Below are 16,224 nucleotides of genomic sequence, written 5' to 3'. Positions count from 1 at the left end.
GCAACTTAAGATACATTGTTATAAGATTTTTTATGTAAGCTCCATGGTAGCCACAAAGAAAATACCTATAGAAAATACACAAAAGAAAATGAGAAAAGAGTCACAATATGTCACTAAAAAATCACTGAAACACAAAGGAAGACAACAAGAGAGGAAAAGAGGGACAAAAAAGTTATAGGACAGACAGAATACAATTAACAAAATGGCAATAATAAGTTCTTCCATGTCAGTAATTACTTTTTTGCGGGGGGAGGGGGGATAGAGTTTTGCTCCTGTTGCCCGTACTAGAGTGCAATGGCACGATCACGGTGCACTGCAATCTCCGCCTCTCAGGTTCAAGTCATTCTCCTGCCTCACATCCCAAGTAGCTGGGATTACAGGTGTCCGCCACCATGCCAAAAATTTTTGTATTTTTAGTAGAGACAGGGTTTCACCACGTTGGCAAGGCTGGTTTCAAACTCCTGACCTCAGGTGATACACCCGCCTCCACCTTCCAAAGTGCTAGGAAGAGCACCTGGCCAGTAATTACTTTTAATGTAAATGGATTAAACTTCCCAATCAAAAAACAGAGTAGCACTGAATGGATTTAAAAAACAAGTCAACTATATGCTGTCTACAGGAAACTCACGTTAGAGTTAAGGACACACATAGGCTGAAAGTAACAAAGATGGAAAAAGATATTTCATGCAAAAGGTAACAAAAAAGAGCAGAGAGAGTCATACTTATATCAGAAAAAAAGAGACACTACGTTTAAAAAGTCACAGGAGACAAAGGACGTTATATAATGATACAATTGCCAATTCATCAAGATATATACAATGATAAATACATATGTGCCAAAGATCAGAGCACCCAAATATCAGACTCAAACACTGACAGAATTGAAGAGAGAAATAGACAGCAACACAATCATAGTAGGATAATTTGATTATCCACTTTAAATTTAGTGGATAGAACATCCATATAGAAGACCAATAAGGAAACAGTACTCGAACAACACTAAAAGAAGCATAGGGGAAAATCTCCATGACATTGGTCTTGGCAATAATTTCTTGGATCTGACACCAAAAATACAGGCAACAAAAGCACAACTAGACCAATAGGACTTTAAAAACTTCTGTGTAGCAAATAGAATAATCAACACAATGGAAAGACAAAATACAGAATGGGAAGAAATATTTGCAATTCATATATCTGATGGGGTTAATATTAAAAAAAAGGAACTTCTAAGACTCAATAGCAAAAACAAACACAAATCCTAGATAACCCAATTTTATAAATGGGCAAAGGACTTGAATAGACATTCCTCCGTAGAAGACATACAAATTGCCAACAGGTATATAAAAAGCTGCTCAATCTCACAAATCATCAGGGAAATGCAAATTGATTCCACCTGTTAGGATGGCCATTAGCAACAAAATAGAAAATAGGCCAGGCATGGTGGCTCACGCCTTGTAATCCCAGCACTTTGGGAGGCTGAGGCAGGTGGATCATGAGGTCAGGAGATCGAGACTATCCTGGCTAACACGGTAAGACCCCATCTCTTCTAAAAATACAAAAACTTAGCCAGGCGTGGTGGCACACACCTGTAGTCCTAGCTACTCGGGAGGATGAGGCAGGAGAATCACTTGAACCTGACAAGCGGAGATTGTAGTGAGCCAAGATCGTACCACTGCACTCCAGCCTGGGTGACAGAGTGAGATTCTGTCTCAAAAAAAAAAAAAAAAAGAAAATAACAAATGTTGGCAAGGATGTGGAAACTTTGGTATTCTTGTGCACTGTTTGTGGTAATATAAAATGGTGCAGCCACTATAGAAAACGGCATAAAAGTTCCTCAAAAAATTAAAAAATAGAGCTACCATATGATCTCATAATTTTACTGTTAGGTATATATCCAAAAGAATTAAACATAAGAACTTGAAAAGACATTTGCACCTCAATGTTCATTGGCAGCATTTTACAATAGTCAAGAGGTAGAAACAATCTGCATGTCCATCAGTGGATGAATGAATTAAGAGAACGTGGTATATATTTACAATGGAATATTATTCAGTCTTTAAAAAGAAGGAAATCATGTCATATGCTACACCTTGGATGAAACTTGAGGATATTACGTTAAGTGAAATAAGTCAGTCACAGAAGAACAGTCATTGCATGATTCCACTAATATGAGGTATCTAAAAATGTCAAACTTTTAGAAGCATAAAGTATAATGGTTGTATTAGTCCATTCTCATGCTGCTCATAAAGACATACCCAAGACTGGGTAATTTATAAAGGAAAGAGATTTAATTGACTCACAGTTCTGCAGGGCTGGGGAAGCCTCAGGAAACTTACATTCATGGCGGAAAGGGAAGCAAACACATCCTTCTTCACATGGCAGCAGCAAGTAGAAGGGCCAATTAAAAGGAAAAATAGGCCAGGTGTGGTGGCTCATGCCTGTAATCCCAGCACTTTGGGAGGTCGAGGTGGGCAGATCATGAGGTCAGGAGATCGAGACCATCCTGGCTAACATGGTGAAACCCCGTCTCTACTAAAAATATAAAAAATTAGCAGGGCATGGTGGTGGGCACCTGTAGTCCCAGCTACTCGGGAGGCTGAGGCAGGAGAATGGTGTGAACCCAGAAGGCAGAGATTGCAGTGAGCTGAGATCATGCCACTGCACTCCAGCCTGGGAAACAGAGTGAGACTCCATCTCAAAAAAAAAAAAAAAAAAAAAAAAAAAAAAAAAAAAAAAAAGCAGCCCCTTATAAAACCATCAGAATTTCATGACAACTCACTATCATGAAAGCAGTATGGAGGTAACCACTCCTATGATTCCATTGCCTCCCACCAGGTCCCTCCCATGACACATGGGGATTATGGGAACTACAGTTTAAGATGAGATTTGGGTGGGGACACAGCCAAACCATATCATTCCACCCTGGCTCCTCCCAAATCTTATGTCCTCACAATTCAAAACACAGTCATGACCTTCCAACAGTTCCCCAAAGTCTTAACTCATTCCAGCATTAACTCAAAAGTCCAAGTCCAAGGCAAGCCCCTTCCACCCGTGAGCCTGTAAAATCAAAAGCAAGTTAGTTACTTCTAGATACAATGGGCGATACAGGCATTGGATAAGTATACCCATTCCAAACAGGAAAAATTGGCCAAAACAAAGGGGCCACAGGTCTTATTCAAGTCTGAAATCCAATAGGGTAGTCATTAAACCTTAAAGTTCCAAAATGATCTCCTTTGACTCCATGTTTCACATCCAGGTCACGCTGATGCAAGAGGTGGGCTCCCATGGCCTTGGGCACCTCTACTCTTGTGGCTTTGCAGGTTATAGTCCCCCTCCTGGCTGCTTTCACAGGCTGCAATGGAGTGCCTGTGGCTTTTCCAGGTGTCCAGTGCAAGCTGTCAGTGGATCTACCATTCTGGGGTCTGGAGACAGTGGCCCTCTTCACACAGCTCCACTAGGCAGTGCCCTCGTGGGTACTCTCTGTGAGGGCTCCAACCCCACCTTTCCCTTGTGCACTGCCCTAAGCAGACGTTCTCTATGAGGGCTCCCCTGTGCAGCAGACTTCTGCCTGGACATCCAGGCCTTTCCATACCTCCTCTGAAATTTAGGCAGAGGTTCCCAAACCTCAATTCTTGACTTCTGCACACCCACAGGCCCAACACCATGTGTAAGCTGCCAAAGCTTGGGGCTTGCACCCTCTGAAGCAATGGCCTGAGTTGTACATTGACCTCTTTTAGCCAAGGCTGGTGCGGAAGCATTTGGGATGCAGGGCACCATATCCCAAGGCTGTACACAGTAGGGATGCCCTGGGCCCAGCCCATGAAACCATTTTTCCCTCCTAGGCTCTGGGCCTGTGATGGTGGGGGCTGGGGTCACTGCTATGAATGTCTCTGATATATCCTGGAGACGTCTTCCCCATTGTCTTGGTGATTAACATTTGACTCCTCGTTACTTATGCAAATTTCTGCAGCCAGCTTGAATTTCTCCCCAGAAAATGGGGTTTTCTTTTCTATAGCATTGGCAGGCTGCAAATTTTCCAAACTTTTATTCTCTGCTTCCTCTTGAATGCTTTGTTGCTTAGAAATTTCTTTCCCCAGATACCCTAAATCACCTCTCTCAAGTTCAAAGTTCCACAGATCTCTGGGGCAGGGGCAAAATGCTGTCAGTCTCTTTGCATAGCAAGAATGACCTTTACTACAGTTCCCAACAAGTTCCCCACCTCCATCTGAGACCACCTCAGCCTGGACCATTGTCCATATCACTATCAGCATTTTGGTCAAAGCCATTCAACAAGTCTCTAGGAAGTTCCAAACTTTCTGACATTCTCCTGTCTTCTTCTGAGCCCACCAAACTGTTCCAACCTCTGTTTGTTACCCAGTTTCAAAGTCACTTCAACATTTTTGGATATTTTTACAGCAGTGCTCCACTCTCTGTGGTACCAATTTACTGTACTAGTCTGTTCTCACATGCTAATAAAGACATACCCAAGACTGCATAATTTATAAAGGAAAGAGGTTTAATTGACTCACAGTTCCACAGAGGCTGGGTAAGCCTCAGGAACCTTACAATCATGGCAGAAGCAAATGGGGAAGCAAACACATCCTTCTTCACATGGCAGCAGCAAGGAGAAGTGCCAAACAAAAGGGGGAAAGGCCCCTTATACATCAGATCTTGTGAGAACTCACTCACTATCATGGGAGCAGCATGGAAGTAGCCACCCCCATGATTCCATTACTTCCCACTGGGTCTCTCCCACAACATGTAGGGCTTCTGGGAACCATAGTTCAAGAGGAGATTTGGGTGGGGACACAGCCAAATCATATCAGCATGTTTTTTAATGAAAAAACACAAAATTCATCATCAAATTCATAGAGATTTTCTCCTGTTTTCTTCTAGAAGTTTTATGGTTTTAGGTTTTACATTGAGACCTATGATCTATTTTTAGTTAATTTTTATATAAGCTGTGAAGTATATGCTGAGGTTCCTTTCTGGCATATGAACATCCAACTATTCCATCACTATTTATGTAAATGACTATTCTTTTTCCATTGAAATTGTGTGCCTTTGTCAAAAATTAGGCAACCATATTTGTGTATTTATTTCTGGGTTCTCTATTCCACCCCACTTATCTATATGAATATCCTTATGCTAGTACCACAGTCTTAATTACTGTAGCTTTATAGTGACTCACGAAATTGGGTAGTGTGGGTTCTACAAGTTTTTTCTTCTTATTTATAATTTTTTGATCATTCTATTTTCTTTGTCTTTTCATATACATTTTAGAATAATCTTGTCATTATCTATAAAAAATCTTGCTGGAATTTTGATAGGAATTACCTTAAAACTGTAGATACATTTGGAGAGAATTAATATCCTAACAATATTGAGCATTTCTATCAATGAATAGTATAGCTCTTCATTTATTTAGTTCATTCATTTCTTTTTCCAGTTTTGAGAAGACCACTTCGATAAGGAGACATTTGAGTTAAGACCTGAATTAAGTGAGGAAGTGAACCATCTGTAGAAAGAGTGTTTCAGGCAGGCAGTATAATAATAAGTGCAAATAGTGTTTCAGGCAGGCAGTATAATAATAAATGCAAAGGCCCTGAAGTAAAGTGTGGTTGAAGTAGTCTAAGAACAGTAAGGAGGCTAGAGGAGGAGGTGGGAAATTCTTGTTTGATTCCTGGTAGCATTACTCCAACAATTATTTCTTCACCCCAGCAGCAGCAAAGTCTTCCCATAGCAGTAGCTGAATGGAGTTTGTAGTTCTTCTTGAATTTGCAGAATTAGCCTCATTACCACACCACCCCTGCCACCTCCCTTACCACCCTCATTAGTGAACAGCACCAGCCAGTGGAGTGGAGTGAAGTGGTGTGAAGAGGAGTAGAGGATCTTATCACAAAAGTAACAAGAGGCCAGATTATATAAGGTCTTACAGCCACTGTAAGGCATTGAATTTTATTCAGAGAAAGAACAGAAGTGATTGAATGTTTTTGAGCAGAGGAGTGATATCTGACTTATCTTTTAAAAGATCATTGAGTGCTGTGTGCAGAAAGGATTGATGGGAAAATATGAGTCCAAGATGGAAGCAGGGAACTAATGATGAGACAATTACAATATTTCAGCAAGAGCAGATGGTGGCTTGGACTAAGGCATGAGTACAGGAAGTAATAAATGTTGGAATATAGATCTATTTTAAAGATAGCACTGATGTGAGTTGCTGAGGGTTAGATGTGGGCTGTGAGAGAAAGAGAGGAATTAAAGGTTTTTGTTCCAAGCAACTAGAAGGATAGCATGTCCATCAACTAAGTTGGCGAAGACTGTGAGAGTAGAGGTTTCCAAATTGTTTATCTAGTTTAGAATGAATAGGCAGGGGAAAAAAGATTCTAAAATATTTATTAAATATTTATTAAATTTTAAGTACAGAATCTAAGAACCTGCATCATACATCTTAGTACATTCTAATAGCAACCATCCGGGATAAACAGCAGCCTATGCATTATGGCTTGAATGTGAATGGTGAGGGTAAGGCAATAGGCAGAGGGGAGGAAAATAATATTTTAATTAGTAACTCCAGTTATTATGCCTCTAAAGGAGCATGTAGGAATGATATCTGGGGCTCAGGAAGACCTCACTGAAGATTATGTACTTTACTTGAGACTTAAAGGAGTTAGCCAGAGGAGGAAGTTGGAGTTTGTAGGAATGGGAGGTTAGTCCATAAGCCAAGTGATGAACAGATGCAAAGGTCCAAGAATGAGAAGATGTGTTTGACAAAGTAAAAGAACAACAAGCATAAATAGAGAAGGGAGAGCAAAATTGAGAGTATTGTGAAATAAAGCAGGAGATAGATTTTATTCTAATAACCAGATCTGCATTTTTCTTTTTTTTGAGATGGAGTCTCACCCTGTTGCTTAGCCTGGAGTGCAGTGGTGTGATCTTGGCTCACTGCAACCTCCACCTCTGGAGTTCAAGTGATTCTCCTACCTCAGCCTCCAAAGTAGCTGGGATTACAAGCATCCGCCACCATGCCCAGCTAATTTTAGTATCTTTAGTATAGATGGGGTTTCAGCATGTTGGCCAGGCTGGTCTCAAACTGCCGAACTTGTGATCTGCCAGCCTTGGCCTCCCAAAGTGCTAGGATTACAGGTGCGAGCCACGTGCCTGGCCCAGATCTGCATTTTTACAGAATGAATTGGAGAGGAAGAGTCATCTATCCTGAAGACTAGTTAGGATGTCATTGCAGACATCTTGATAATGATGGCTATGGTAGTGGATTCAGACTTGAGAGATATTTAGCAGCTTATATATGGCAAGTTAGAAGAGACAGGTTCTGAGAATGACTACTAGACTTCTAAGGTGGCAACTTGGCATATGGCGATATGTTTACTAAAATGGGTGTGCCACATATTAATTGTCTCTCAGCTGGAAACCTACTCTTCTATATTCTACTTTGTGAAGCTGATGCTTGTATTTTGCAAAACACATTTCTGCTTTGCTGGCTGGCTCTACGTAAACTCTTCCATACGTGGCACTAGAGGGATACTGGGTAGCTGGAGGAGGAGAAAAGAAATGCTTTTTCCCATGTGCTTCCTAGTAGCCTCAGTCTAGCAATGATTCTTCGTCCCAGAAGTAGCAAGTTCTTCCCTTAGCAGTAGTTGAATTCAGTTTGCAGTTTTCCCTAAATTTAGAGAACAGCCTATATCACAACACTGTGTTCCCGTTCCACTCCCCCTCCTACCCTTCCCGCCCCTACTCCCCTCCCACCCCACGTGACACTAAGCCCACAGCACTAACCAGATAGTGCTCTCTCTTCAAAGGTCTGAATTTCAGGCTTATGGGGATCCTCTTTTGAACCCAAAGACCCTAGAATCACTTGAGCAGCATTTCTTCCTCAGAAATCTTGAGTTTTAGCTATTGGAGTTCCCCTTCTAAGTTTCTAAGTTTTGATAATTCTAGCCTCTTTCCTTTGTTCCCTCAGCCCTTCCTGCAGTTGCTACCTCCACGATACCTTATGGTTTGGGGGGCTTTTGAAGTGTTTCTTTTTAAACTTTCATTTACCTAGTTAACATTTTTTAATGTAAAATTATCTCTAATCAAATAACGTGTGGTTTCTGTCTCTTGACTGGACCTTGATTGATATAGAAATTGGTTCTAGAATAGACTTTAGAAGTTGGGATTTGGGATTTGTTTGGTTCTGTCCTTGAGCTTGAATGAAGTGCTGAGCTCCCCACTAATGTGAAATAAATTCTGGTAACCCATGTCATGCAGAAGTATCATGATTCATTAAATTGTCACCTGCAGTTAATTGTGATGATATTCCTACTGAACCAAGTGCCTTAGGAGCATGGGCCTGCTACATCTAACTGTTAGCAGTAGTAATGACTGTGAGGACTGTGGTGTGGGATAGATTCTTGAGTTTAATAAAACACATACAGAAAGAATAACAAACTCAGGTCTTTACATTCTTCATAAAGTCTCATTAGAGTGCCAAAATGATTCTATGGCAGTCCTAAAAGAATCTCTCTTTTCTTGCAGCCACAGGGCTGATATTGTTAAAAATAAAAAAAGGCTTAATAGGCCAGTTTACAATTTTTACAACATCAGTTGAATTTACAACCTTGCTAGGTCTCTCATGTAGAAGTTAAAAAAAATGGAAAGAAAATGACCCTAAAACTTGGAATGAGTACACATTTGTTTGGGCTTAAATGGGGTTAAGAATTTTGAATTGTCAAGTCATTTTGAGCCTCTTCTGACAGTGGGAGCCTCCTGTGTCTGACAGATTAGCCTTCTCTTGCTTGAAAACTCTATCCACTATACCCATAACTAGGTCAGATATCAACACACCCCAAAGAGCCAGCATGAAGTTTAACTTAGGAGGAAGCAGGTGGTAAACCAAAAGAATTGCAAGATTTTTCTAATTTATATCACCATCAACCTAGGGAATATGTATAGGAATGGAGCTTAAGGAAGATGAAATATAACACTGGATTCGGCCAAACGTATTGATAAGGGTGTACTTACCTGAGGTTCTGGATTTAATGTGTTGGCTCATGCAGGTGGAAGCATTCCAACAATTTAATATGTTTGTTTACTGACAGTTGGGCACAACAGCAGGGTCTATTTAATGAGGTTGAGATACCAGAACTTTCCATATTATAATGTTGAGGAAAAGATTCCAGTGCTTAGGGAAACAGGAATGGTGGAGCATATTTATCACATGTAATCTACACACCCATCCCTCAACATCCTTGAGAGAATCCAGAGGAAATCCCATAACTGACATGTGGAGAAACACACTTGTGTATAGACCATGTACATCCTTGAGAAGTTCTGTTGTGGCTGTGCTCTGTAAGCTAGGTATAATGGGAATTTTCAGTATTGAGATGGGCTCCGCAATTTAATAGAGATGTTGGAAGTTCTGGAGTATCAGAGGCAAGCAGTAGTACTTAACCACAGAAGACAAGGTAGGGGGCATATTTATTATAAAAGGAAAGCAGTAACATAGTGGTAATCATAGTTTTAAGCCATAGGAATTTTGGGCAGTATCCTATTGATTATAATGTCCCTAAGAATGAAATAGTTAGACAACCTAGTAAAATGGTCCTTAATCTCTATAACAGTAAAAACCAGACCTGACAGCAAAGAAAACTGACTGGAGTCTCAGAAATGGACAGTCACGGTCTTTTATTCAGTTTCCAGACCTAAGCCATGTACAATACGAGAATCTCTTGGATTGAAGGAGAGATCAGGTCTCTTTGAGGAAGGCCCTATATCATAGCCACAAGTGTATACTGTATATCTTCTTTCAAGTCTTCCTCAAAGGAAACTGCTGCCATTTACTAGGGTGACTGTGTAGTAACAAAAAGGAAATACCCAGACCTTTTGTGGGATTATCAAACACTGGCCAACCGATACTAATTCCTGGGCACTTACAGTCCTGCAGTCTACCAGTTAAACTGGGGGCTTATGTAGCGTCTTAGTCAGTTCAAGCTGTTTTAATGAAATATTACTGGGTAGCTTATAAACAACAGAAATTCATTTCTCCCAGTTGAAGGCTGGGAAATCCAAGATCAAGATGCAGGCTGATTTGGTGTCTGGTGAGTGCCTGATTTCTGGTTCATAGGTGGTATCTTCCAGCTGTGTCCTCACATGTTGGAAGGGGTAAAGGGTCTCTCTCAGGGCTCTTTTGTAAGGGTACCAATTCTTTTCATGAAGTCTTCACCCTCCTGACCTAATCACCTCCTAAAGACCTCACCTCCTAAAACTATCACCTTAGAGGTTAGGATTTTGTGAACATTGTCAGATTCAAAATGTAGTCACTTGTGTCAAACCCTAGCAAAATGGAGCTAGAGAAGGCTATGCTGGTAGGGCTCTCACACACAGTTTGCCTGATAACACAAACTATCACAGGACATTTTTCCAAACCACAGTTTACTACGTGAGTCACACAAAGACAGCTGGCAGCACAAGGACAGCTAGCCGCTTACACAAGAACACATGCCTGACACACTGACTCACAAACCCAATTCTAAATGTAAAGGCCTAACTGAAACTCCAAGATTACAAGTCCTTCCTAAGGACCACTGACATTCACATATCAAAACTCTTCAGCTCTTGTAAGATGCTGCCAGCACCAAAAAACTTTCTTTTAAAACAACTTGCATAAATCTCCTCTTTCTCCAATAAAATCCTAACCTTTTACTCTGTTCTCCATATATACTGGAGGCCATCCTGGTTTGTATATATGTCCCAAATTACAATCCTACGTCTTGTATACTATTCCCAAACAAAACCTTTTTACTTAGAGATTCATCTCTATTTTCACATGACAATTTCAATACATGAATTTGTTGGGGGACACACACATTTAGACTATAGAAGTGAGTCAGGTGATAATTGGAGACCTAGCCCAACTTTGAAACACGATGTGCTCAGTAGGTCCACAAATCCACTGTGTGTTTTTGTCTCCAGCTCTTGAATGTATAATTGGAAGAGACATATGTTTAGGCATAATAGATATGCTAGGCAGCTGGTAAAATCCTCACAGTGTCTGTGTGACCCATGGAATAAGGACCACGATAGTAGAAAGAGGAAGCCTCTGGAGCTTTCCTTCCCTTTCAGGACAGTACAAAAAAAGATATGCCACATCTTTAGAGGAGTTGCAGAGATTAGTGCCATCATCAAAGACTTGAAAGATGGATGAATCCTATCACATCTCCATTTAAGTCACCTGTTTGTCCAATGCAGAAGAGAAATCTTAGCAAATAACTGAGTGTGGTTATAAACTTAATCAGGAGGTGACTCCAATGTTAGTTGATGCTCCAGACGTAGTGTTACTAGGGCAAATCACCATGACATTTCCTGACACCTAGTGTGTAGCTATTAACATGGCAAATGTTTTGTCTCTATATTAATTTATAGGGTCCAACTAAAACAGTTTACCTCTTACATGTCAGGGCCAGCAGTATAGCATCATTGGATTGACATCCAATCTTTTACTCTTTGCCATAATATAGTTCACAGAGATCTTGATCATCTTAATATTCTCATACAAAATAAACTGGTTCAACACATTGATTAAATTATGTTGTTCAGATCTGATAAATGCAAAGTAGTAAGCATTTTGGATGGCAAAATAAGACAACTAGGATCTCAACTGTCAGGATTCATTACCTGATACAGTGAAGAACAATAGAGAAGCAGAATGTTGGAGTAAAAGGGATAATGACAAGATTAGTTTCAGGCATGTTGAGCAGCATAACAGAGAGTTATCCAAGTGAAGATATTCAGGAGGCAGTCAGACACATTAATCTGGAGTTAGAGAGAACATAAGTAATGTAGATTTGGTAAGCACTGGCAAACAATAAGTCATAACTGAAACCATGGAATGGAATGAGATTTAGTAAGAATACATAGAATAGAGAAGACCCAAGACTGAGCCCTGAGGAATGTAAAACTTTAAAGGTCTGTGAGAAGAGGAGGAACCAGCAAAGCAGGATGAGAAGGAGCAGCCAGAGTACGAGGAGAGGTTTCAGAGAGTATGGGGCTTCAGAAGTCAAGGGAAGAGGGTGTAGCTAAAAGAAGGGAGAATATCAGCAATGTAAATGCTGTAGAGTGGTCAAGCAGGAGGACTAAGAGTGCTCATTGGGTGTAGTCCCATGGAGGTCATGGGTAACTTTGCAGTGAACAGCTTCAGTGTATTGGAGGGGGTAAAACTAGTTTGGTGGGGGTTAAAGAGTGCTTGCAGGGTGATTATACAGAGAGCAGAACCACAGTAAATAGGTGGATAGTGAGGTCAATTCACTAAAATTGGAGATTCAAAGAAGCAACTTATTTGGGAGAGATTTATATAAAGTTCAGTTGTAAATACATTGAGCTTGAAATGTCTTCGTATTTCCAGTGCCTAACTTGGTGTCTGGTATGCTATTTGTGAATGAGTCATGATTGACTATGACTTCAACACATTACTGTTCCTTTATCCTGCTTATCCTTCTTCATAGGGTTGATAAACACTAAACTTGGTCATTGAAGAAAGCATTGACATTGCCAGAACGTCTTGTAAAAGTAGGTCTTGTCCATCTGCCCCAAAGGAGGCAGGAGTGTCCAGTGGAGGAACACAGAATAAATGCTAAACAGACCTAGGACCGAATCTGTACACAGTCACTTAGAGCTGTGGGATGCAGTGTATGTCTAATACTCCCTCTCAGCCCTTGTTTTCCTGTTTATATGTTGTTTCACCATACCTGCTTCTCACAGTGGTTAGGGTGAAATGAGATAATGAATTACAAGAGAAGCACATTGTGAGGCTCATCATCAGTGGACAATAAGTTCATTCTTTGCAGTCCAATGTAGAAAAGTACAAGGCACTGCAGAGAAGAGAAGCTCCATGCTGATTCTCAGAATTTTTAAAGTATTGTTCAAATAGGAAACATGTATGACCTTTGCTCCTTGACTATAAAGTAACCAGCTGTGCAGCACAGCAGGTCACTGGGTATGATCTAGGTTGGCAGTGAAATAGGAAACTGGTGAATGCAGGTGGATAACAAAAGAGGCCTATATACATTCCACTATGAGAGGAGCAAGTGGGCCAAGGAAAAGGGAGAAGCGTGGAGAAAAGAAGTAATATAAGCTATGTTTTAAAAAACTGTGTACAGAATCAATATTCCCTCAATGAAAAACAGGATACCTAACGGCAATGTTTTGATAAAAAGACATCATTTAATACTAAGAAGAGTTTTTGCTAGTAATTCTACCCAGTAAGATGTAAAATTTATCAACCCACAAAGTTGACCTTTCCAAATAGAGTACACTTGTACCTAAGTGAGAACATTTAATTCAGTCTTTCTTATCTTGAACAACTTTTTAAGATATATTTCAATATTTATTCAGTTTCACCCAATGATGTGTAAATACTCCATATATAATTCTGTGATTAATATTACTGAAGTGAGGAAACAGATCTGAGGACCTAAAATACCAAAATTTACCCCAAAGTCTAAGTACCTATAACATGGGAAAGAGATAAAAATCCTACTAGAGATGGCACCTATCTTATCTTTGTGGGTACCTAATGAGAATGCTTGACTCCATTAAACTCTATAGCATTTTACTGGGGGTCCACAGCAACCAAATCATTACTGGAGCTGAGAAAATCCAATGCAGTTCATGGCCTGTGATAGGTCTTAAATATTTGTTAATTAATAAAGTAATCATGCTGAGAAAAACAGTAGTTGCCTGGATCAGCACTCTTATTTTTATTTTCTGTAATCATAACTTATGATTTTGAAAATTTGTACCTGGCATTTCATACTTCCACAGGGTAGAACTTGAAATATTATCTCACCTCTTCCATTGTTCTCCATTGCTGCCCTCTTGACTTTATAAAAGAGGGTTTCATTTTCATACCGTGTTAGCAGGAATAAAAAATGAGTATAAACTCTTTGGAGGTTGTTAATTTGGAATTTCCTCAATTCTATTAATTTTTTTATTAAAAAGTAGCCTTAACTAAGCAATTCTACTTCTAGAAATTTATACTTGCACAAAGTTGAATGGACAAGCATTGTTTGTACACTGAAAAATGGCAATAACTTAAATGTCTATAGGGTTACATGATGATGCATCCAACTAATGGAATACTCTGAAGCCTTTGAAAAGAATGAGGTTAAGTTTAAGCGTTGCCACAGAAAGACCATCAAGGAATAGTAAGTGAAAAGAGGAAGACTGCCTAATAATACTAGTGATAACAGTAATTGTAATAAACACTCATATTATGTTCTAAGCACTTTACATTCATTAACTCATTTAATTCTCATTGTAACTCTATGAGGTGGGTACTATTGTTATCCCCATTTTACAGGTGAGGAAATTGAAGCACAGTGATGTCTAGTAATTTGCCCAAGGTCACAAAACTACTAAGTGTCAGCAGCAGTGTGTGGCTTGAGGATTAGTGTTCTTCTCTGGTTCTATTCCAGGTATGTTTTTTAAAATGTGTAAAAATGTGTATATATGTATATATTTGCTTTTTATTATGAGGGTCATTGTTACTTCTATAATATTTTTTCTGCAAGGATGTTTCTTAAAATACAATGTTTTAGTTATTTTTCCTTTTGAAGCTAGCAGTCAAGGAAGAAATTTAATCATTTTCCTTGTTTCCATTGATTCAATCAACTAAAATATCTAAACTGTGTTAGGCACCCTTGCCTGCCACTGTCCTCAAGAAGCAACTGTCTAGTGGAAGAGAGTGATATGTAAACATGTAATGCAGAGCCCCTTTGCTACGGTCTGTATGTGTCCTCCAAAATTCATATGTTGAAACTTAATCACCAATGTGATATTATTAAGAGGCAGGCCCTTTAGGAGGTGACTAAGTCATGAGGGCTCTGCCTTTGTGAGTAGGATTCATGCCTTATGAGAGAGGTTTCACACAGTGTTTGTCCCTTTCTGACCTTCTGTCCCTTCTGCCATGTGAGGACATGGTGTTCTTCCCCTTCAGAGGATGCAGTGGTTAAGGTGGCACCTTGATCTTGGACTTCTCAGCCTCCAGAAGTGTGAGAAAATAAATTTCTATTTTTTATATGTTATCCAGTCTCAGGTATTTTGTTATAGCAGCAGCAGCAGATGGACACTCTATAAAGGGGGTATATAAAGATGCGGTAGGAGAGGCACAAAGGAGAGAGATCAATTATGTAGAGGGAAGTGGGGGGCAGTGTGAAGGCTGCCCAGAGAAGAGGTAATGTTCTGCCAAAATACGGAAGGAAATGTAAGAGTTTTTCAGGAGCTGGGTGAGAGGAGGAAGAGAAAAAGCAGCCCAGATGGAGGGAATAATGGGAGTAAAGACACAGAAGCCGGAACCCACATTGTTGATTTATCTGCACCTTAGGGGAGGGAAACGTGAATAGTGCCTCTGGAGATGTGGGTAGGAACCACATTATCTAGGACCTTGTAGGCTATGTTAAGAACCTCATCCTGTGTACCAGTTTTTTAAGAAACACTTGAAGAACATAGGTGTTCTCAAAGTAACTCAAAAGATATAAACCAATTATACACATATAATTTAATATTATTCAGCCTTAAAAAGGGAGGACATTCTAACATATGCTACAACGTGGCTGAACCTTGAAGACATTACGTTAATGAAGTAAGTTCATCACGAAAGGACAAATACTACATGATTCCACTTATATGAGGTACCTAGAGTAGTCAAATTCACAGAGACAGAAAGTAGAACACTGGTTAACAGCAGAGAGGGAAGGAAGTAGGGAAACAGGGAGTGATTGTTTAAAGGGGAAAGAGTTTCACTTTGGGATGGTGAAAAAGTTCTAAAGATGGATTAGTGATGATGGCTGCAAAACGATGTGAATGCAGTTAATGCCATGCAATTGCATACTCAAAAAGGGTTAAAATGATAAATTTTATACTTTGTATATTTTGCCACAATTTATTTCTTTCTTTAAGATGGTCTTGTGCTGTTGCCCAGGCTGGAGTGCAGTAGTATGATCATAGCTCATTGCAGCCTTGACCTCCTGGGCTCAAGCCATCCTCCCACCTCAGCCTCCTGAGTAGCTGGGACCACAGGCGTGCGCCACCACATCTGGCTAATTTTTTTATTTTCTTGTAGAGAGAGGGTCTCACTTTGTTGCCCAGCATGGTCTCAAACTCCCGGGCTCAGGCATTCCACCTGCTCCCAAAGTGCTGGTATTACAGGTGTGAACCACTATACCTGGT

The sequence above is a fragment of the Homo sapiens genome, chromosome 1 (genome assembly GCF_000001405.40).
Source record: "Homo sapiens chromosome 1, GRCh38.p14 Primary Assembly".
NCBI lineage: Eukaryota > Metazoa > Chordata > Mammalia > Primates > Hominidae > Homo > Homo sapiens.
Note: the sequence above shows the minus strand (reverse complement) of the source record.